At 62.1% G+C, this 19,932-nt stretch overlaps 1 protein-coding gene across 2 annotated transcripts, besides 13 other annotated features; it reads right to left on the bottom strand.

Moving 5' to 3' along the window:
• Positions 19–519: an enhancer, noted in NCBI's record as "H3K27ac hESC enhancer chr19:2035637-2036137 (GRCh37/hg19 assembly coordinates)". NCBI's record gives its function as "activates a minimal SCP1, AML or CMV promoter by ChIP-STARR-seq in naive H9 embryonic stem cells {active_cell/tissue: H9 hESC(naive)}" and the evidence as "EXISTENCE:reporter gene assay evidence [ECO:0000049][PMID:30033119]".
• Positions 1,852–15,625, bottom strand: MKNK2 (MAPK interacting serine/threonine kinase 2). 2 transcript variants are annotated; one of them, NM_017572.4, is made up of 14 exons: positions 15,477–15,625; positions 15,182–15,328; positions 10,985–11,072; positions 10,748–10,849; positions 10,567–10,664; positions 7,884–7,963; positions 7,505–7,578; positions 7,147–7,251; positions 6,988–7,043; positions 6,808–6,903; positions 6,221–6,415; positions 5,421–5,585; positions 4,515–4,558; positions 1,852–2,210 (listed from the first exon to the last, which is right to left on the bottom strand). In NM_017572.4, the coding sequence occupies exons 2-14, from the start codon at positions 15,230–15,232 to the stop codon at positions 2,120–2,122; spliced, it is 1,245 nt and encodes a 414-aa protein (NP_060042.2). In that variant the 5' UTR covers positions 15,233–15,328; positions 15,477–15,625; the 3' UTR covers positions 1,852–2,119. The 2 variants fall into 2 exon arrangements, with proteins under 2 accessions (NP_060042.2, NP_951009.1); NM_199054.3 differs by having other exon boundaries at positions 1,852–4,237.
• Positions 2,080–2,854: an enhancer, noted in NCBI's record as "H3K4me1 hESC enhancer chr19:2037698-2038472 (GRCh37/hg19 assembly coordinates)". NCBI's record gives its function as "activates a minimal SCP1, AML or CMV promoter by ChIP-STARR-seq in naive and primed H9 embryonic stem cells {active_cell/tissue: H9 hESC(naive and primed)}" and the evidence as "EXISTENCE:reporter gene assay evidence [ECO:0000049][PMID:30033119]".
• Positions 2,409–2,478: an enhancer, noted in NCBI's record as "active region_13639". NCBI's record gives its function as "activates an Ori minimal core promoter by ATAC-STARR-seq in GM12878 lymphoblastoid cells {active_cell/tissue: GM12878}" and the evidence as "EXISTENCE:reporter gene assay evidence [ECO:0000049][PMID:35858748]".
• Positions 6,349–6,818: a silencer, noted in NCBI's record as "silent region_9759". NCBI's record gives its function as "represses an Ori minimal core promoter by ATAC-STARR-seq in GM12878 lymphoblastoid cells {active_cell/tissue: GM12878}" and the evidence as "EXISTENCE:reporter gene assay evidence [ECO:0000049][PMID:35858748]".
• Positions 10,901–11,401: an enhancer, noted in NCBI's record as "H3K4me1 hESC enhancer chr19:2046519-2047019 (GRCh37/hg19 assembly coordinates)". NCBI's record gives its function as "activates a minimal SCP1, AML or CMV promoter by ChIP-STARR-seq in primed H9 embryonic stem cells {active_cell/tissue: H9 hESC(primed)}" and the evidence as "EXISTENCE:reporter gene assay evidence [ECO:0000049][PMID:30033119]".
• Positions 11,905–12,562: an enhancer, noted in NCBI's record as "H3K4me1 hESC enhancer chr19:2047523-2048180 (GRCh37/hg19 assembly coordinates)". NCBI's record gives its function as "activates a minimal SCP1, AML or CMV promoter by ChIP-STARR-seq in primed H9 embryonic stem cells {active_cell/tissue: H9 hESC(primed)}" and the evidence as "EXISTENCE:reporter gene assay evidence [ECO:0000049][PMID:30033119]".
• Positions 12,563–13,219: an enhancer, noted in NCBI's record as "H3K27ac-H3K4me1 hESC enhancer chr19:2048181-2048837 (GRCh37/hg19 assembly coordinates)". NCBI's record gives its function as "activates a minimal SCP1, AML or CMV promoter by ChIP-STARR-seq in primed H9 embryonic stem cells {active_cell/tissue: H9 hESC(primed)}" and the evidence as "EXISTENCE:reporter gene assay evidence [ECO:0000049][PMID:30033119]".
• Positions 13,877–14,533: an enhancer, noted in NCBI's record as "H3K27ac-H3K4me1 hESC enhancer chr19:2049495-2050151 (GRCh37/hg19 assembly coordinates)". NCBI's record gives its function as "activates a minimal SCP1, AML or CMV promoter by ChIP-STARR-seq in naive H9 embryonic stem cells {active_cell/tissue: H9 hESC(naive)}" and the evidence as "EXISTENCE:reporter gene assay evidence [ECO:0000049][PMID:30033119]".
• Positions 14,340–14,529: a silencer, noted in NCBI's record as "silent region_9760". NCBI's record gives its function as "represses an Ori minimal core promoter by ATAC-STARR-seq in GM12878 lymphoblastoid cells {active_cell/tissue: GM12878}" and the evidence as "EXISTENCE:reporter gene assay evidence [ECO:0000049][PMID:35858748]".
• Positions 14,710–14,769: an enhancer, noted in NCBI's record as "active region_13640". NCBI's record gives its function as "activates an Ori minimal core promoter by ATAC-STARR-seq in GM12878 lymphoblastoid cells {active_cell/tissue: GM12878}" and the evidence as "EXISTENCE:reporter gene assay evidence [ECO:0000049][PMID:35858748]".
• Positions 15,260–15,799: a silencer, noted in NCBI's record as "silent region_9761". NCBI's record gives its function as "represses an Ori minimal core promoter by ATAC-STARR-seq in GM12878 lymphoblastoid cells {active_cell/tissue: GM12878}" and the evidence as "EXISTENCE:reporter gene assay evidence [ECO:0000049][PMID:35858748]".
• Positions 17,798–18,022: a silencer, noted in NCBI's record as "fragment chr19:2053416-2053640 (GRCh37/hg19 assembly coordinates)". NCBI's record gives its function as "represses an EF-1alpha promoter that drives an FKBP-Casp9 reporter gene in an ReSE screen in K562 erythroleukemia cells {active_cell/tissue: K562}" and the evidence as "EXISTENCE:reporter gene assay evidence [ECO:0000049][PMID:32094911]".
• Positions 19,212–19,291: an enhancer, noted in NCBI's record as "active region_13641". NCBI's record gives its function as "activates an Ori minimal core promoter by ATAC-STARR-seq in GM12878 lymphoblastoid cells {active_cell/tissue: GM12878}" and the evidence as "EXISTENCE:reporter gene assay evidence [ECO:0000049][PMID:35858748]".

A 19,932-nucleotide genomic window follows, 5' to 3' on the forward strand; every position in this document is an offset into this window, starting at 1 on the left:
CAGAAGGTTACAATTACTAGGACTTGTTAGGTTGCACAGTCCCAAGGCAGCGGCAACAACGTCTCTCACCCTCTCCCAGGAGGAGACCCTTCCCCTTCCCTTGAACCTGGGCGGGCCTCGCGTCTTCTGTGAAACCAGAGAAGGTGGCGGGGGTGGCGCTGCCTGGCTTCTCAGCAGGTCAGCCTGGCAGCTTCTGCTTTGTTTGCTTGGAACCCTGCTTACTGGAGCCCGAGCTTGGGAACACAGCTGCCATGTTGTGAGGAAGCCCAAGCCACACGGGGAGGCTCCCTGCAGGCGCTGGCCCTGGTGAAGAGCTCGCAGCTGAGCCCTGACTGGGTGTGGTGGCTCACGCCTGTAATCCCAGCACGCTGGGAGGCCAAGGCAGCTGGATTACTTGAGGCCAGGAGTTCGAGAACAGCCTGGCCAACATAACAAAACCCTGTCTCTACTAAAAATACAAAAAATTGACTTGGTGCGGTGGCTCACGCCTGTAATCTCAGCACTTTGAGGGGCCGAGGTGGGCAGATTACCTGAGGCCGGGAGTTCAAGACCAGCCTGACCAACGTGGAGAAACCCCGAGTCTACTAAAAATACAAAATTAGCTGGACGTGGTGGCACATGTCTGTGATCCCAGCTACTCGGGAGGCTGAGGCGGGAGAATCGCTTGAACCTGGGAGGCGGAGGTTGCGGTGAGCTGAGATCACGCCATTGCACTCCAGCCTGGGCAACAAGATCGAAACTGTCTCAAAAAGGAAAAAAAAAAAATACAAAAAATTAGCTGGGCCGTGGTGACGCACGCCTATAATCCCAAACTACTCGGGAGGCTGAGGCAGGAGTATCCCTGAACTCAGGAGGCAGAGGTTGCAGTGAGCCGAGACATGGCACCACTGCTCTCCATCCAGCCTGGGCTGTGAATGAGATTCTGTCTCAAAAAAAAAAAAAAGGACAGGGTCTCACTCTATCACCCAGCCTAGAGTCAGTGGCATGCTCACGGCTCACTGCAGCCTCTACCTCCTTGGGCTCAAGTTGTCCAACCGCTTCGGCCTCCCATGCAGCTGGGACTATGGGTGTGCACCACCACGCCTGGGTTTTTTTTTTTTTTTTGAGATGGAGTCTTGCTCTGTCACCCAGGCTGGAGTGCAGTGGCATCGTCTCGGCTCACTGCAACCTCCACCTCCCAGGTTCAAGCAATTCTCCTGCCTCAGCCTCCCAAGTACCTGGGACTATAGGCACCCGCCACCTCGCCCGGCTAATTTTTGTAGTTTTTTAGTAGAGACAGGGTTTCCCCAAGTTGCACAGGCCAGTCTCGAACTCCTGGCCTCAAGCAATCTCCCTACCTCGGCCTCCCAAAGTGCTGGGATTACAGGCGTGAGCCACCGCGCCAGGCCTGTTTTGTTTTTTTTTGAGACAGTCTTGCTCATCGCCCAGACTGGAGTGCAGTGGCATCATCTCGGCTCACTGCAGCCTCCGCCTTCTGGGTTCAAGCAATTCTTGTGTCTCAGCCTCCAGAGTAGCTGGGATTACAGGCATGTTGCACCACACCGGGCTAATTTTTGTATTTTTGGTAGAGGCGGGATTTCATCATGTTGGCCAGACCTCGAGTGATCCACCTGCCTTGGCCTCCCAAAGTGCTGGGTAATTACAGGCGTGAGCCACTGCTCCCAGCCGAGCTCAGCTTTTTGCCTGTCTTCCCAGCAGTGCATCCAGGCATCCTGGAGCAGAGACAGACCCCACAGGAGCGCACCCCCTCAAAACTCCTGACTCAGCATCACCAGCAACAACGTGGTTTTGCACCAACTGGTTGTGGATGGCTCCTTATGCGGTGACAGAAAACTAAAACTCAGGCACACAGCAAGTTTTTTGACTTTTATTAAATCTTTACAAAACAGAATACAAAATTCCGGCATTGACAGTTGGTGTAAAGGAAAACTTCTGAGCTCCGTCAGTTCACCTGGTACATTGGAATTAAAGTGCTTGGATGTTTTTCCCCCACTTTAAAAAAACTTTTGAGGTTTTTTTTTTTTTTTTGTCTTTTAAAAACATCGTAACATTAACACATGGCCGTTCACCGTCCCCCAGCGATGGGAGCTGGCCTGGGGCCCAGGGTCCTCCAGGATCTTCACTCATTCACAGTAACGGTTCTGACCAGTCCTCCAGGTCGCACGTGGATGCGACAGGGGTGGGGAGGGAGGAGGAAGTGACTGTCCCACCTTCAGAAAAAAAAAAAAAAACAAACAAACAAACGCTGCTAGCCACTCAGCTTTAGAGACCCGATGGCTATGGGCGCCTGCAGCGGGCGGGGGTCCATTTGCTTGTTCTTTGATACAAAAAGGCAGAGAATCCCCCGTTACGAAACATGGAATCACTGACAGGCGAGAAGTGATGGGGGAAAGGGGTGGGCGGAATGCCCCACCCCCCCCAGGGGTCTTTGGAAGGGGCAGTCCACAGATATGGGCAGTGGGGACCAGGGAAGGCAGAGCACCCCCACGGCCACCGGACTGTGACCATCATACGAGATTCAGGAGGGGCAGCAGGGCCAGGCAGACGGTCTCCGAGGCCCCCACCCCCAGGCCCCCCGACATTCAAGTATTCTTCAAGAACAGGGAAGCAAAGTCCATCGATGTGTTGTTTTTTTTTAAGGAAAAACTAAAAAACTAAACAGGAGGAAGAATCCCGACCGCGGATTTAGAAGCCAGAGGGGCTGCCCCAGCTGTGGAGCTCGGGGGCTGCGCCGGGAAGGGCGGGCGGTGACCCTAGCCGCGCGCACTTCTAAAGTGGAACCCTGTATTGCATAGAACGTCCCCACCCGCGGGGAGGGGGCAGCAGGCTCCGCAGCCCCCGGGGGTTGGAGCATGGAGGGTGGGGGGACTGAGCAGACCCCCGCATTCCTGGGTGCCCGAAGGGAGGCCGAGGCCGCAGCCGTTTTCCTGAAGGTGGCAGACCAAAAACACTGCCCTGGGGGTGAGGATTCGGCCAGACCCCGGGGTCTGGGCTCAGCTCTAAGGACAAGGACGGAGCTGACGGAGCTTCCAGGTCAGGCCCGAGGGGCGGCGCGAGGCAGGACGTGGCTACGGTCAGACTGAGCCCTGAGAAGGGGCACTCGGGTGCCCCAAGGGGGTGTCTTCAGGACCCCCCACATTGGCTGACAGTGCCTGTCCAGCCCCTCTGCCTGCTGCGGTGGAAACGGCTTCGGGCCAGGCGGGGCTCCTGCTGTCTCAGGCCTTGGTGTGGAGGGGAGGGGCAGCGGCGAGCCCCTGGGGTCAGCTGCAGTTTAAGGTCAAGGTCGGAGGCCGAATCTGGCCACCAGGAGTCCTGGACAGACAGACGGGCCTTGCAGGAAGCCCCGATTGTCAACTATCATGGGGACAAGGCAGGCGCGGGTGAAGGGCTGGGGGATCCCATGGGGTGGGTGGGTGAGCTGCCTGCCACCTGCCTGCCTGACACCTCCAGAGACAGGCAGCCCCTCCCTTCCCCAACCAAGCCACCAGGGGTGCTCTCAGGGTGAGGGATAGAGGGGAAGAGCCTGTCCCTGAAATACTGCGGGCTGGGAGGGAACACGAGGGCAGGGTCCTGTGCCCCTCCCCAGCTCTGCAAGATGGCAAACGCTGTGGGCCTGCTCTCCTGAGTCACTGCAAGCCACGTGGGCAGATGGCGGGCAGCACAGGTGACCTGGGGGCACCTTCATAGTAGAGGTGAGCAGGGCGGGGGACCGGGGAGGGGACAAGCCCACCCACCTACCCTCTGCTCACCTTCCCGGGTGCCTGCAATGCTTTTAACCATCCAAAGGAAAAAATAACGGGGAGGGGTGGAAACAGGAAAAAAAAAACCCAAAAGCAAAAACCTTCTATAAAACACCCCCCTCAGCTGAGCTTAGTGCCTGGGAATCCAGGCAGAGGAGGGGCAGCCCGCTGGACACCGGCTGGCGATAGCTTAAAAAACCTTTAGATTTGATTGGGGGACGGGTGACCTATGTACAGAGGGGAGATGGGAGGGTCAGGCGTGGTCTCCCACCAGGACCACTGGGGCCGAGGACAGACTGGCCCTTTGCCGCCGCTGCGCCAGCTTGGACTGGGAGGGTGGAGACAGCTGCAGGCAGCGTGAGGTAGCTCGGACCAGGACGGGCTGGCCCTGCCCCGCGGCCTCCTCCTCAGCCAGGTCCTCGTCGTGCTGGGCCAGCTGCCGGTTCATGGCAATGGCCTCAGCCGCGAAGGACGTGAGGTCTTTGGCACAGCTGTTCCTGGGAAACGGGGTGGGGGTAGGTGGTCACCAAGAGGCACCCCTCAGGGGACCCCTGGGGTCTGTGAAGGCCCTGGGGGAAGGGGCTTCATGCCCCCCTCCCAGCCCCCACCCTGGGGCTCCTCTGAGCACCAGGGCCCCACCGGGAGCTTCACTGAGTCACCAGGCTTGCCTGCCTCCCCGACCCCAAAGCAGTTCTCCGGGTCTTTCACAAATGTCTTAACCTGGAAACCCCGCCCCCTGGACTCAGGGGTCCCGAGCACCCCTGCGGGCCTTACCTCTGCAGGACCATGGGAGTGGGCAAGGTGTTCTCCGGGGCGCACTGCAACGAGAGTGGGCGGGGGCAGGGCTGGAGAGCAGCTGGGGCCGCCTGGGGCGCTGGGTGGGGTGTCTGGCCAAGGGATGCCATGCCCATCCCATCACCAGGACCCCACCGGAGACCAGGAGTGCACCTGGGTGCCCCGGGAGCCAAGCGCCCACCCCGAGGTCCCTATGGTGAGGCTCCATGTCCCCCTGCCCAGGGAACCCGAGGCTGGGCCAGGCTGAGGCCTGGTGTTACAGGACCCAGTGAGGGTGGGGGCAGAGCCCCAAGCCCCATCTCTCCCGGCTGTTCCCAGCCCAAACCCACCTCCGCCCCCCTCTTAACCCATGGGTCTCTGGATGCTTCTGCAAGGAGATTGGAGGCCCCCAGCCCCTCGCCTGGGGACACAGAGTGACCCCAGCTTCTATTTTTAGTAAATCCTCACTCCCTGGGGTGGCAGCTCAGCTCAGATGACCTCTGGCAGGAGAAACACCCGACTCCTCCTCGACTGGAGGCCACACAGGGAAGGGTGGAGGCACAGCCTGGGCTTGAGACTGACGGCAGGCTAGGCTGGGGTCTATGTGAGCTGGGCTCGCTGCCCGCTTCGCTCCAGCCTGCTGCAGGCTGTGGGTCCCCACCACCCTCCAGGAAGGTTCTCTGAGTAGCTGCTCCTGGGAGCCGCCTGGCTGGCCAGCGGGCACCGTGCACAGGCGGGCGGTGGGGATTTCGGCTGCACCCCTCATCCCAGGGCAGAGCCTGTGCTCTCAAGCCTCAGTGCATCTCAGGGTGTCCAGGCTACACCCTCAGGGCTTCCCATGCTCGCTCTGAGGCCACCCTGCAGCGCCCCCATACCCCTCCTGCCGCCCGTGCGGCTGGTACTCACCCCCTGAACCCAGGGGTGCTGCAGGACTTGGGCGGCACTCAGCCTCTGCTTGGCGTCACGGACCAGCAGCTTGGAGATGAGGTCTTTGGCAGCGCAGGAGATGTGGGCCCAGTCCTTGTCGGGGAACTCGTACTTGCCCTCCTGGATGCTCTCAAACAGCATGTTCTGGGGACATAGAACACAGGGGAGCTTAGACCTGCCCAAGGGCCTGGATACTGTGCACTGACACGTGGCTCCAACCGGACCCCAACCAGGCCCTAGACCAGGCCCTAGACCACGCACGCCTGGGGCAGAGGGGGCTGGGAGCCGGACCAGGAGAGTCAGCTCCACCCAAGTGGAGCTGGATTTACAAAAAAGCAGCTCTGAGGGACCTGGTTCCAGGGACCACAGGCCACAGATGCTGAGCCTTAAGCCGCGGGCAGGGAGCCTGAGCCTGATCCCCCCAAACCAGGGGCCTCACTCCACCTCTCAGCTCTCTGAACCCTGTCTGGGGTTTCCCTTGGGCAGGCAAACCTGAAAAGCCTTCGGGAAACTGGCAGACAGGGCGGCACTGCCCTGTGGATGGCATCAGGGAGTAGGGCACACCGGGCAGGTCCCCAGGGGTTAGGGGGAGTACAGAGTAGGTCCCCGGGGGTCTGGGGAGCACACAGGGCAGGTCCCCGAGGGTTAGGGGGTGGTCAGGGGGCAGGTCCCCTGGACTTAGAGGGTGCGCAGGGCAGGTCCCCTGGGGTTAGGGGGTGTTCAGGGCAGGCCCGGGGGAGGAGGGTGCCCAGGAGAGGAGGGTGCGCGGGCCGCCGCACCTGGCAGGCAGGGCAGGCCTCGCCGCGGTCCCAGCCGCAGTCGCTGCCACAGCGGCCCACGAAGGGCGGGTAGCCGCTGAGTAGGATATACAAGATGACGCCCAGGCTCCACAGGTCGCAGCGCTTGTCGTAGATGCTAGCCTCCTCGCTGAAGGCCTCCACTACCTCCGGGGCCATGTACTCCGCCGAGCCGCACTGCGGGCGGGGGAGGGGCGCGTCAGCCGGGGTTTCCCAGCATTACGTGGGAACCGAGCCCGGGTAACTGCGGGTCACCTGCGCCAGCCGGCTCGGACCCCGCCCCGCCGGGCCCGACCAATCAGCGGCTGCCGGGAACGCGCCCCCGCCCAATCAGCAGGTGCAGAGCTCGCCCCTCCCCCGCCGCGGCCCCGCCCCACCCGGCCAAACACCGACGCGTTGGGGCGCCTGCTCGAGGCCCCGCCGCGACACCCCGCCCAACCAATCAGCGGCTGTTGCTAGGCGGAAGCCCGAGCTCCGCGGCCTGGAGCTGCTGGATGGCCCAGGCTCCGCGAGGTTATGCAACCGCAGAGCAGGCGGCCGAGCCCCCAGCCCTCCCCGCGGGCCCTCACCGGAGTGAGCAGCTCCGGGGTGGAGATAGGGGAGCAGTCCCCGTTGAGTTTGATGCCGCTGCCCAGGTCGAAGTCACAGATCTTCACGGGGGAGACCTGGGAGGGGCCAAAAGGTCCGTGAGCCTGGGGTCCCACGCGGTCCACCCCTCCCGCGGGGCCACCCTGCCGGAACTGGCCTACCTGGTTGGGGTGCTCACAGAGGATGTTTTCCGGCTTTAGGTCCCTGTGGGCGATGCCTGGGGGAGAAGCCACAGAACCACGACGGGGTGAGGGTCTGGAGGTCTTCCAGGAGTCCTTGGCAGGCGGCCCTAGGAGACTCCGGGCGGGGTCACCACCTACCTTTGTTATGCAGAAAGTCCAAGGCGCTGGCCACGTCCTGCACCACCACGCTGGCCTCCAGCTCGTTGAAGTGCCGGCGCTTGTGGATGTGGCTCAGGATGGAGCCTGGGCAGGGCAGGGCAGGGCAGGACAGGGGGAACACGCAGGTCACCTCAAAGTCCCCTCAAGGCCAGCACCCACCTCCACTTTGGCGGGGACGCCCCCACACTGGCTTCCTCCAGCACAAAGGCCTCACCCCTGAGCCACCATTTGGGCAGGACACTCACCCCACAAGCCCCCTCCTGCAGGTGGCACTAGGCCCCCATCCCGTAATACCTCCCAGCTCCCTCCCTCCTCACAGCCTGGAGCCCCCAGGTACCTCCCCGCATCTTCTCAAACACCAGGTAGAAGCGGTCCTCCTCCTCGAAGAACTCAATCAGCTCTAGGACGTTCCTGGGGTGGGGGTGGGGGCAGGAGAGGAGCTGAGGCTTCCTGAGGCCCCTGGGTACCTGCTGCCCGGCCTAGGAGGGGCCCACCCTCTTGGTGCTGGCCTGTCCACCGGAAGCTGGGACTGGGGCAATAGGCCAGCTTCACACTGCCCGCCTGGGGCTGTCAGCCAGCCTGCTTCAGGGAGGGGAATGCAGGGCCTGGGAAACTGGGTGCCCTACAGACGCTTGCTGGGGGTGATGTGGCACTCAGGCCCTTCATCCACTGAAAGACAGCTCAGGCCAGTGCGGTGGCAAGGGTGGCTCACCTACCTGTGTCCCTGGCACTGGTACAGCATCTCCACCTCCCTGAAAACCCTGCTCCGAATGTGGCCTGGCTGCTTCTCAATGATCTGAAACAGGCGAAAGGACACAGCACCTGGGTTGGTGGGACGCTCATAGTCGAGAAGGGGCCAGAAACTCCACTGCCACGGCTGGAATTCACCACACTTAACGCCCTGCAACTCTAGAAAGCAGGGCTCACGCCTGTCATCCCAGCACTTTGGGAGGCCAAGGCGGGTGGATCATGAGGTCAGGAGATTGAGACCATCCTGGCCAACATGGCAAAACCCTGTCTCTACTGAAAATATAAAAATTAGCTGGGTGTGGTGGTACACGCCTGTAATCCCAACTACTTGTGAGGCTGAGGCAGGAGAATCACTTGAACCCGGGAGGTGGAGGTTGCAGGGAGCTGAGATCGCGCCATTGCACTCCAGCATCCTGGTGACAGAGTGAGACTTCGCCTCAAAAAAAAAAAAAAAAAAAAAAAAAAAAAGCCAGTGGAGGCTGCTCTCCACCTGTGACCCTGACAGCCCTCAGAGACACATTTGAGACCTATGACTTCTGCAAAATACCCCCACAGGACGTGAGGGTTCCCTGCCCTGGGCGGCCACCCTCCCTGACCCAGAGACAGTCAGCTGTAGTCCTCTTTCCCCACAGGGTGGGTACCTGGTCACCCATAGAACTAGGGAGGCCTCAGGACACCTGGCTGCCAGCCCACCAGGCCCCACCTCACATGTGGCCACAGCACCAAGTCCTGCTCCCCAGCTCCGTGCCAGCCTGGGCAGACACTTGCCTGCCGCCTCAGCCAATATCTGTTTCGGGCCCACCCTGGTTGGCTGTCCCAGCCACTGGCGGATCCAGCCTCCCTGAGCCCCAGAGCCTCAGGAAGCCACTCTACTGCCCCCAGCAGCTCCAGCTGCTCCCTGCCACCTTCACTCACAGAGGTGGGGTGAGGAGGCGTCTGCAGCTTCCCCTGGCACCTGCTGGGACCCTCCTGCCAGGCTGGACATGTTAGCCCCTCTCACTGGGCGGGTGCCTGGCTGCATGAGCACTCTGCCCAGGGTTCCCTGCCCAGTGCGATGGCCTGGTGGCAGCAGGGATGTGGCATTCCACCCTTGAGTCCCTGGCTCCTGCCTCTGCAGTCCCATGTCTATACTGACAGACAACACTGTCCCAGCGAGGGGCAAGAGAACAACTGGACGCCAGGGTGTCCTGAAATACCACCACCCAGGCCGCTGCTGAAAGCTGTGCCCAGCAGGCACTGCAGATGGTTCTGGACAAAACTGAACCTCGTCCTGTCCCTTGGGTGGCTGGCTAGAATGCTGCTTCAGGGAGGGGGCGCAGCCCCTCCTGGCATGGAAGGGGCCTATTCTGAGGTCCCAGCATGGGGGCTCTGCATCCAGCCAGCAGCCTCACGGCACCAGGTGACCCCAGGGTGGCTTCCCGCAGCATGACCCCGAGGGCAGAGGGCCCACACCCCAGTCCCCATAGAACGAAACAACGCTCCTCAGACCCACAGGCCCAGCGATTCGCCTCTCTGACTCGCCCAGGACACCTCCTCCTCCCACTGCCACCTGGCCAGACCAACTCCCGGACGTCAGTGGCCAACAACACCTCCAGCAGGAAGTCCCCCAGGCTCTGCAGATCCCAACACTGACCACACCAGGTCAATGTGGCAAGATGACCAGGGAGGTGGCTCTGAGACACCAGTTAGGATCCCCCAGAGGCCACACAGCATGAGTCAGGCTACCTAACCCCCTGAGCCTCAGTGTCCCTATCTGTCAAACAAAGACAGGAAGCAAGGCTGGGCCACCAGGAGAGGGCTGTGCTCAGAGGAACGCCTGCTGTGTGGAAGTGCTTCCGGAGGGGCCTAGTGCTCCTGCACCATTGCCTTGGCCTGCCTGGGGGCTCCCAGGAGGCAGGGACCGTCCGTACTGTGTCTGTCCCTGCCTGCTGCCACTGTGGTCCCAGCACCTAGCCAGTAACCTCCCCAGGTTGGCCACCCCTCTTCTTCCTCCTTCTCCTCAGAGGAAAGCTCTAGCCTGGCCGTCCACCAGGACCCACAGGCTCCTGGCGAGCCCTGCTCGCCAGGGCACACCTGGCCCTCTTTCCCAGGCAGCCAGCCCTCCTGGGACCCCACCCAGCCCGGGAGCCGGATGCCAGGTCACGAGGGAAGCCTGGAAGATTTCTTGGAACACGGGATCCAACCGGCCCACAAGGTCACAGGGTCACAACCAGAGCCTCAACAGGGCTCCTGCTCCCAGCCCTTCGGCCACACCCTGGGTCCAGCAGCCGCCCAGGGCTAGAGTGACACAGGGGGCTCTCACGGGCCTGCACTGAGGTTCCCCAAACGCAGAGCCCCTCTGGGCCCTGGGATATGACATTGCATTTTGATCCTTGAAACCAAACTGTCATGTACCCTCAGGGACAGCTCAGAGGCAGGGACGGCCCAGGGGACCCAATGGGCACAGTGCCTCTGTCTGAAGCCCCCACCCTGGTACCAGAGGGGCCACCCTCACTGTCATTCCCGACTGGACTCAGGGCCCGGTGGCCACTTTTAGACACGGGTCTTCCCGGCTGTAGGACGGACAGCCGGAATGCCACACACTGTTTCCACCCCCGCTCAACACCGATCCCAAGGCGCTGGGTTCCCCAGGGCGCGGCGCGGGCCCACCTTGACGGCGTACTCCTGGCTGGTGATCAGGTTGATGCAGGTCTGCACTCGGGCATGAGCGCCCTCCCCCAGCACATCTTCCTGCAGCTGGTAGACGTCTGCCGGGCAGCGGGGCGGGCGTGAGAGGGACCCTGGCTTTTCCCCGCTCCCGGCTCCCCCAATGCCCGCCATCCCCGCTCACCTTCAAACCTGCCCGAGAAGCTGTCGGTGGCCCGGCCGCGCTTCTTCTTCTTGCCCCTCTTCTTGGCGTCCGGGATGTCAATGGGCTGGCTGGCGGGCATGTCTGTTCCAGGAGGCACGCCCAGGGGGCTCAGGACATGGCCCTGGCCGGCCGGCCCCCACCCCCCTGCAGGGGCTGGCCACTGCCATGGCAGCGACAGCAGCTGCCCTGTGCCCTCCTCCCCCTCGGGCCCCTCACCAGGGCGGGCTGAGCACTGCAGGCCAAAGTCAGAGTCTCCGTGGTCGGGCTGGTCTAGGGAGAAGGCCAGCTCGAAGGGGTTCTGCCCCTGCAGGGGAGAGGAGAGGAGAGGCACTCAGGCCCCATCCCTGCCCACGCAGCAGGGAGACCTATCCTGCCCCAGTGTCGCAGCGTCCACACTGACAAGCCCTGCGCTGAGCATTACGGAAAAATCAACTCCGTCCCCGCTCACACACCAGGATCAACTCCCACCAGGATCAACTCCCGAAGGGGCAGACAGCATAAACCAGGGGACCCCCAAGCTCCTGGGATTCACCTCCTCGCTGCCCCACACTCAGTGTGTGTGTGGATTTCTCTCTTTTTTAAATTTATGTTTTGTAGAGATAAAGTCTTGCTACGTTGCCCAGGCTGGTCTTAAACCCCTGGCCTCAAGCGATCCTCCTGCCTTGGCCTCCCAAAGTGCTGGGATCACAGGTGTGGGCCACATGTGGAAGGCGTGAGGCCTCCTAGCACCTCAGCAAGGCAAGATCAGGGGACGCAGAGTCTCTTAGGGGGTCCATGGAATTTGCCAACCCAGGGGGTGATTCTGTCCCCCAGGAGACACTGGGCCATGTCTGGGGACATCTGTGGTTGTGACCGGTTGGGGGAGCTCCTGGCACGGAGTGGGGTGGGGCAGGGGTGCTGCTCAGCACCCTGCAGTGCCCAGGACAGCCCCACCCCAGAGAAAGATGGGCCCCAACCTCCACAGGGCCGTGGGGAAGACCTCCTCCCACCTGCAGAGCCCTGGGGGCCTCTGGGAAAGGGGTGCATTGCGGGGAGGGGACAGACACAAGCAGCTGGCTCTTGGGAACCCTGCCTCTGATGCCAGGATTGAGTCACCGTGGGGCCCAAGCCGTGTCTTGCACCTCCGTCTGCTTGTCCACAGAATGGGGACGGCTGACCTCTGGGGCGGGTCGCGGGGATCAAAGGCAGCGGGGCAGTGGGAAGGAGGTGAGTCACTAGGCGGGCTGCCAGCCTGGTGGCTGTGCCTGCTTTCCCACGGCCTCCTGGGCCATCTCAGGGCAGCTGAGTCCTCCCTGGGCCTCAGTTTCCCCCATCTAAGATGGCACACAACCACCTCTCCTTCCCCTAAGCTGCTCCCCTCCCTTTCGCTCAGTGCCTGGGGCTGGCGGGGTAAGAATTCAGTGCCTGGTGCTCTGGGGCCTGCTGAAGGTGGGGGCTCTGCTTCCATCACCCCTGCCTTCTGCCCCTACCCAAGCCCAGACACCTGCATTCCTCCGCCCATGTCCCGCAGCTGCCCGGCACACCTTTCCCCTGCCAGCTCTGTGCACCTACGCCCCCGCCACCCACCAGAGGCTCATCTGCTTCCAGCCCCCCAACCCCGCAGCTACCAGTTACCGAGTCAGTATACACAGTGCTGTACTGGTCCTGGGGGCTCACGGGAGAGGCACCCACAGGCGCGAGTGTGCCAGGCCCTGCCCAGACCACATCCTGCACTCTCCCATTTCAGTGCCAGACACCCCTGGAGGGAGCCCCTGGTGGGCCCTGATACCCGGCTAAGGAAGCCGCCTTGGGCCCTGGGGGCCAGGATTCAAATCCAGGCCTGTTGCACTGGGCAGGCTGGGGCTGGGTCATTTCTTGACCCAGCCCCAGGACCATGGGAGCAAGACCCTGACCAGGGTGCAAGGAACAGTGCAGATTAGAGTAGGCTTTGCCCAGCCCCCGTGGAAGATGGTGGCATACATATGTACGTTTCCACAGAGCAAATGGCCCAGCGCAGGGACTGCCGGCCCTTTACGAGGGGCCGGGCCTTTGAAGCTGGGGAACCGAGGCCCGGTCAGGTTCCTTGTACCACTGAGCTCTCACTCAGCTTCACCCGTCTGGGTGAACCCAGGCGGGAGGGGCCCACAGAGGTGGCGGGGGTCCCAGTCCCAGTGAGGATGCTGGCTGCTCTGGGCCAAGTCACTGCCCCTCTCTGGGCCCCAGACAACCTGAGTGGGGCTCTAACAAGAGGGTCGTTCAGCAGAAGTGAGACTCCAGTGGAGCCCGTGGGAGACCCAAGGCCAGGAGATGGGTGGAGGCCAGAGGGCAGAGTCTGGGAGGGGCCGTGAGCCAAGCTGCCCTCCTGCCTCCCCACCCACCCTGGCTCGGGCAGATAGCTACCAGGAGGCTGCTGGGGGAGGAGGGAAGGAAGGGGGGGGCTCCAACTAGCCCCCATGGGAGTCAGCATTCCCATAAGGCTCCTGTCCAGAGGCCCCTGGTGGCCCTGGGGCAGCCACCACAAGGCAGGTGACCAGGGTCTAAGGCCAGACTGGAGTTCACCTGCTGTCTGACCTTGGCCTAGTGACCTCACCCTGGGGTCTGTCAGCGGTGAGACGGGAGGCAGCTGCCCCCAACTCGTGGGAGCTCACGAGAGTGAAATGACCTAAGGGGCCACAGAGCCCAGCGTGAGCTCCTGGCCCTGTCTGGCCACCGTTCCCCTGTGCCAGCCACAGCCTCCAACTCAGCAAAGCTACAGATGGACGGCCGCAGCCACCACAGCGGAGGGGCCAGGCACCACGAGACTCCGCGGCCTCCTCGCCCGTGTACAGGGGAGCCCCAGGCACACGCGCCTGCAGTCTCAGAGCCTCACTTTCCCATCTGCGAACGGAAAGAAACCCAAGGCACCCACAGACGTGCCTCCCTGCTGGGCTGCTGCCTGCTGGAGGCAAGGAGAGTATTTCAGGAGAGGTGGCCCCAATCCAGGGAGCAGCCGTGCATGGTGGGGGCTGTGGGGGGAGATTCCTAGAGCAACCGGTCCCGGCCACCTGGAGGAACACCTCACAGCCAGGACTGCCTGCCAGGCCCTCCTCCACCAAGACGCCCACCTTCCCAGCTCCCAGCCAGGCTGCCCTGGCCATGCACAGAGGCCGGCCCACAATCCTGGGCAGTGTGGGCGGTCCTGGTCCCACTGTTCTAGGTCTGGCTGTGGGACTCGAGTCAGCAGGCCTTGGCAGGAGGTGGCTGGAACCATCTAGAAAGTTCAAGTGTGCTTTAGCTGCCTGGCTGGCCCCATGCACTGACTCTGTATCAGCTCATGCCTGGCCCTAGGAGGGAGAAGACCACTGTCAGGTCCTCCTCTTTCCCGCCCAGCCCCTGACACTCTGATGGTGCCAGGCCTGCTGCCCTAGGGGAAAACTGGGCAGGGGTGGCAGGGGTGGAGTGCTGCCCTGGGGCACTGGCTGGACAGACCTGGGAATTCTTCCCAGTCTCTCTTTGCTCCTCCCACCCTGGAGCACCGCGTTGTGTGTACACACAAGACAGAGACACACACACACACAAACACACACACATACACTCACACTCTCTCTTCCTCTCTCCAGTCCTGCCTTCCCTACCGGGCAACAGGTCCCTGCCCAAGGAAGCCCAGTGAAGCGATTACATAACCCCGGCCTGAGGGGTGGGGCGGGCCGGCTGACATCACTGCGTCCCCTGGGCCAGGTCCTGCGGGGCCCCTGCCCAGCACCTGCCCTCCCCTTCCCCCCCAAGATTTGCTCATCTGAAACCAGCACTCAACAGCAGTCACCACCCGGGCTGCGCAGAAACTTCCCGCTCCGACAGGAAACAGCACTTGGGCCTGGGGTGTCTGCGAAGTGCAGGGCTGAGGGGACATCCCATCCCCTCCCCCACGGCACAGGCCCCCTGGGGGTGGGTGCACCTGACCAGCCCGGCCTGGGGATTCTGAAAGAAAGTCCCCAGAAGCCACATGGAGGTGGGAATGGGACTGTGGCCCGCTGACCCGTCCCCACCAGGGCACAACCAGCTGGAGCTTGCAGGGGACACCCCCCATAAGCCACATGCAGCGACTGGGACAGGACTGCAGCCTGCTGACCCCCCAGAACATACCCGGCGGGGGCTTGCAGGGGACACACAGCCTGGTGCCCTGACCCGGAGGGGGCTCCTGCTCCCAGCCTCACTTGGGGGTCCTGGAGGAAGGACCCGGCGGCCATGGCTGGAGAGAGGACTGTGGCCTGCTGAACCCCCATCCTCGCACACCGACCCCGCTTCAGCGCACGGCCGGCCCGGGCAGCCCCGGGTGTAGGGCGGGGGCCAGGCACGAGCCCCGGGAGCCGATCTTAGGGGCGGGCCCCGCGCCCCCCACGCCGGCCATTCCGGTGGTCCAGCCCGGAGCGCCCCCAAACCGACCCCGGGCCTCACCTTGAACGAACGGTGGAAACCCTGAAGTTCGGCTGGTTTCTTCTGCACCATCTTCTGTCCGGGCCCCGCCAGCGGGGGAGGGGACCGAGGGCCCGGGGGGAGGCCCGAGGGCGGGCGGCCGGGCGGGGGGCGGCCGAGGAGGGGACCCTGCGGGCGGGAGCAGACAAAGGGAGGGCGGTGAGCGGAGCCCGGCCTGCCAGGAGCGCGGACCGGGCGGGGGCGGCGAGGGCTCCGCGGGGCCCGTTTCCCGCTACCGGGTCGGTGTCCTCGGGGCCGCCCTGGGGTTCGCACTCACCGGGGTCGGGCTTGGGCCGGGGCCGCAGTGCCGCCGCCGCCCCACGTCGCGCAGCCCGGACCCCGCTCCGCGGACCGCGCGGGGAACAGCGCCGCCGCCGCCGCCAGCGCGGACCCCTCTACCTGGGCCACCGCCGCTGAGAGGAGCCGGGCGCGTCGCCGCCGCCGCCACCTTTATAGGCCCGGACCTGCTCTGGCCCCGCCCCCGACGCAGGCTCCGCCCGGCCTCACCCCCTGCGCACGACGTGGGCGGAGCCAGAAGAGGGCGCTCTCCGGGAACCCAGTGCGGCTGCGCGCTCCGGCGGTGGGGCGTGTCCGAAACGGCTAGCGCACGCCTGCGCAGTGCGGCGCACGGGGGTCTCGGTGCGGAACCTAGGCAGCGACCCTGCGGCGCGCCCGGAGCTGGCCTGTTTTTGCCGCCTGAGGCTCGCGGGGCCCGTGGGACCTGCGAGGCCCTGGGCCGTGTCCTACCGCCTGGCCCCACACAGGGCAACTCCCTTGGCCTGTCAACCCAGGCCTAGTATACCCCGACTCCCTTGGTTCATGCCCTCGCTCTAGAACCTGCCATGGCTCCCTCTTGCAGTTCTCCAGTGCTGGCTCCAGCAGTCCCCCTCGTGCACCACCAGCACGCTTGGAGTCCCAGCCACTCCCTTCTAGTGCTGGGGGACCAGCCACCGCCACCTACTTTCTTCTTCCCCTGGGCCACCCTGCCTGGGGAGCACTGAGCTCCCCGAGTTTGCTTTGTGGTTGGCAGGAACCAGAGTAGAGGGTGGGGACCGAGGTCTGTGAAGGACCCTTCCTCTGTCCTCGAATAGCATTTCAGGGAGAACTGGGACCTGAGACCCACTGGGAAAGAGCCCAAGGGGTGGATGGTCGCCAGGACAGGAAGTAAAACACAGTCCCATTTTGGCTGGGGCCCCAAACCAGGCTTAGATAGAATCAGCCTGTCCTGAGCTGCCAGTCCCCCATCCCACAGCATCCTGGTTCAAAGTGCTCCCCAGGCCCCGGGCCTGGGGCACACAAGGAGTGGGGGTTCCCCTGCTGGGTGGACTGTGGTCTCCTCTTCTGCAGGGGTTTCCAGAAGCTTCGCACAGCCCATCCCACCATCCCCCAACCAGGCCCTGAGCTCAAGAGGGGCTGGAGCCCCACTGACCTGAAGCTGGAGGGCCCCTGCCTGCAAGGCCACAGCTCTCAGGCCACAGGGGCTGGGAGGCCTGGCCTCAGCCACCCCCGGGGCATTGGGGGGAAGCCTGTGGGGAATTCCCAGCCAGAACCCAGCCCAGCACCTGGCATTGCCCTGACTCTTGGCAATGGGGGGACAGAAAACCAGGTCCCCCAGCCCCCCTTATTGTGCATGTGGGTGCGTGTGTGTGCGTGTGAACACATACACGCACAAACACACGTTAGCTCCAGGTGCCAACTAGGGGTGGAGCTGCTAGACCTGCTTGCCTGGGCCTGGCTCACAGAGGGCGCCTAGTAAATAGTGCTTGGAGGAAAGGATAAGAGTGTGTGTGTGTGTGCACGCGCACACGCGCACGTAGGGGTTGTGTGGTCGTGTGAGCTTCCTGGGGCCACTGTAATGCAGGACCACAAACTGGGGGGCTTAAAACAACAGAAATGTGTGCTCTCACAGTCCTGGAGCCCAGAAGTCTAGAAGTGTGGGCAGAGCTTTGCTTCCTCCAAGTGCTCTAGGAGGATGCTTCCTGCCTCTGCCAGCTTCTGGGGGCTCTGGTGGTCCTCGGTTTGTGGCCGCATCACTCCAGTCTCTGCCTCCTCCTCTGTGTGTGTGTCTCCTCTTCTTATTTTATTTTCCTTTTTTTTTTTTTTTTTTTTTGAGATGGAGTCTCATTCTGTCACCCAGGCTGGAGTACGGTGGCACAATCTCAGCTCACTGCAACCTTCGCCTCCCGGGTTCAAGTGATTCTTCTGCCTCAGCCTCCTAAGTAGCTGGGAATACAGGCGCGCACCACCACACCCGGATAGTTTTTTGTATTTTTAGTAGAGATGGGGTTTCACCATGTTGGCCAGGCTGGTTTTGAACTCCTGACCTCATGATCCACCCGCCTTGGCCTCCCAAAGTGCTGGGATTACAGGCGTGAGCCACTGCACCCGGCCTATTTTACTATTTTTTGAGACAGGGTCTCACTCTGTCGCCCAAGCTGGAGTGCAGGGACACATTCATAGCTCACGGCAGCCTCAACTTCCTGGGCTCAAGCGATCCTCCTATCCCAGCCTCCTGAGTAGATGGGACAACAGCACCTTGCCTGCTGATTTTTAAACATTTTGTAGAGATGGGGTCTCACTATGTTGCCCAAGCTGCACTAGAATTCCTGACCTCAAGGGACCCTCCCACCTTGGCTTTTCAAAGTGCTGGAATTACAGATATGAGCCACTGAGCCTGCTGTCTCCTCTTTTTATTTTTTATTTTTTTTTGAGATGGAGTTTCCTCTTGTTCCCCAGGCTGGAGTGCAACGGCACGATCTCGGCTCATCACAACCTCTGCCTCCCAGGTTCAAGCAATTCTCCTGCCTCAGCCTCCCAAATAGCTGGGACTACAGGTACGCGCCACCACGCCCAGCTAACTTCTTTGTGTGTATTTTTAGTAGAGACAGGGTTTCACCATGTTGGCCAGGCTAGTCTTGAACTCCTGACCTCAGGTGATTCGCCCACCTGGGCCTCCCAAAGTGCCGGGATTACAGGCGTGAGCCACCGCGCCCGGTCTCCTCTTCTTCTAAGGACGCCAGTCATTGGCTTAGGGCCCACTCAGTGTGATCTCATCTTAACTTGGTTCCATCTGCAAAGACCCTATTTTCAAATAGTTTCTCGTTCACAGGTACCAGGGTTAGGACATGGATGGGTTTTTCCGGGAGACTCAGCTCAGTCCACAGAGTAAGTGGGACCATTTCGTGGTATGCGGCTGTGGCACACTGTCCTTGGTGCAGGTGTGGGGCTGTGTCCATCTTTCAGTGTGGACCGACATGGGTTCAACATTCACCCTGACCATGAGGAGCAGACCTGAACCAAGGCTCAGCCCATGCCTGGGCTCTGTGTCCAGCCAAGCTCAGGCACCAGACAGGAAAGGCTGATCTGGGAGCCAGGCCAGAGGGGCAGGTCTGTTCCCGGCACCATAGCCAGGCCCTGCCCCAGGTCCTGTCCTCTCCCACAGCCCCAGCAGGTGGGAGCCATCAAGAGCCTCATGCGGGCCGGGCGCGGTGCCACACGTCTATAATCCCAGCACTATGGGAGGCCGAGGCGGGCCAATCACAAGGTCAGGAGTTCGAGATCAGTCTGACCAACATGGTGAAACCCCGTCTCTACTAAAAATACAAAAAAAATGGCCGGGCGCGGTGGCTCTCGCCTGTAATCCCAGCACTTTGGGAGGCCGAGGCAGGCGGATCACGAGGTCAGGAGATCGAGACCATCCTGGCTAACACGGTGAAACCCCGTCTCTACTAAAAATACAAAAATCAGCCGGGCGTGGTGGCGGGCGCCTATAGTCCCAGCTACTCGGGAGGCTGAGGCAGGAGACTGGCATGAACCCGGGAGGCAGAGCTTTCAGTGAACTGAGATCGCGCCACTGCACTCCAGCCTGGGCAACAGAGCGAGACTCCGTCTCAACAAAAAAAAAGAAACTCGCGCAGCAATTGGGAAAACTGAGGAAGCTCAGAGACAGGCAGATGACCCCTGGCTCTAGGGATGCTCCACCGGGGGTTCCTCCCCATCGCCCTGTGGACGTTCAAGGCTCAGTCATCCTCTGGGGTGGGGCCGCCCTGGGCACTGCAGGGAGCTGAGCAGCGTCCCTGGCCTCCACCCACTCCCTGCCAGCACTCAGCCGGTCACCTGGCTTCCTCTCCTCCTCCTCCTATTACCCCAGGGTGGAGCCCAGAAGACACCCAGATGGCTCTCAGAGGGACACAGGGAGCCTGGTGCCCTGTGCCCTGGTCCCAGCTGATCTGTTCCCCAACAAGCCCTTCGTTTCTTTCTGGGGGCGTCTTTTGGGATGCAGATCCTGGAAGGGGCATGGCCAAGGGAACTTCCTAGGTGAAAGGGATTCTGCAGGCAGGACTGAGTTAGAATTTTTTTTTTTTTTTTTTTTTTGAGAGGAAGTCTCGCTCTGTCGCCTAGGCTGGAGTGCAGTGGTGCGATCTCGGCTCACTGCAACCTCTGCCTCCTGGGTTCAAGCGATTCTCCTGCCTCAGCCTCCTGAGTAGCTGGGACTACAGGCACGTGCCACCACGCCTGGCTAATTTTTGTATTTTTCGTAGAGACGGGGTTTCACCATCTTGGCCAGGCGGGTCTCGAACTCCTGACCTTGTGATCCACCCGCCTCGGCCTCCCAAAGTGCTGGGATTACAGGCACGAGCCACCGCGCCTGACTGAGTTAGAATTTTGAGACTGTTGTCTCCCCTTAGTCGTGACAACCACAGATATCCCCACGTGTTGCCCAGTGTCCCCTG

The sequence above is a fragment of the Homo sapiens genome, chromosome 19 (genome assembly GCF_000001405.40).
Source record: "Homo sapiens chromosome 19, GRCh38.p14 Primary Assembly".
Taxonomy (NCBI): Eukaryota; Metazoa; Chordata; class Mammalia; order Primates; family Hominidae; genus Homo; species Homo sapiens.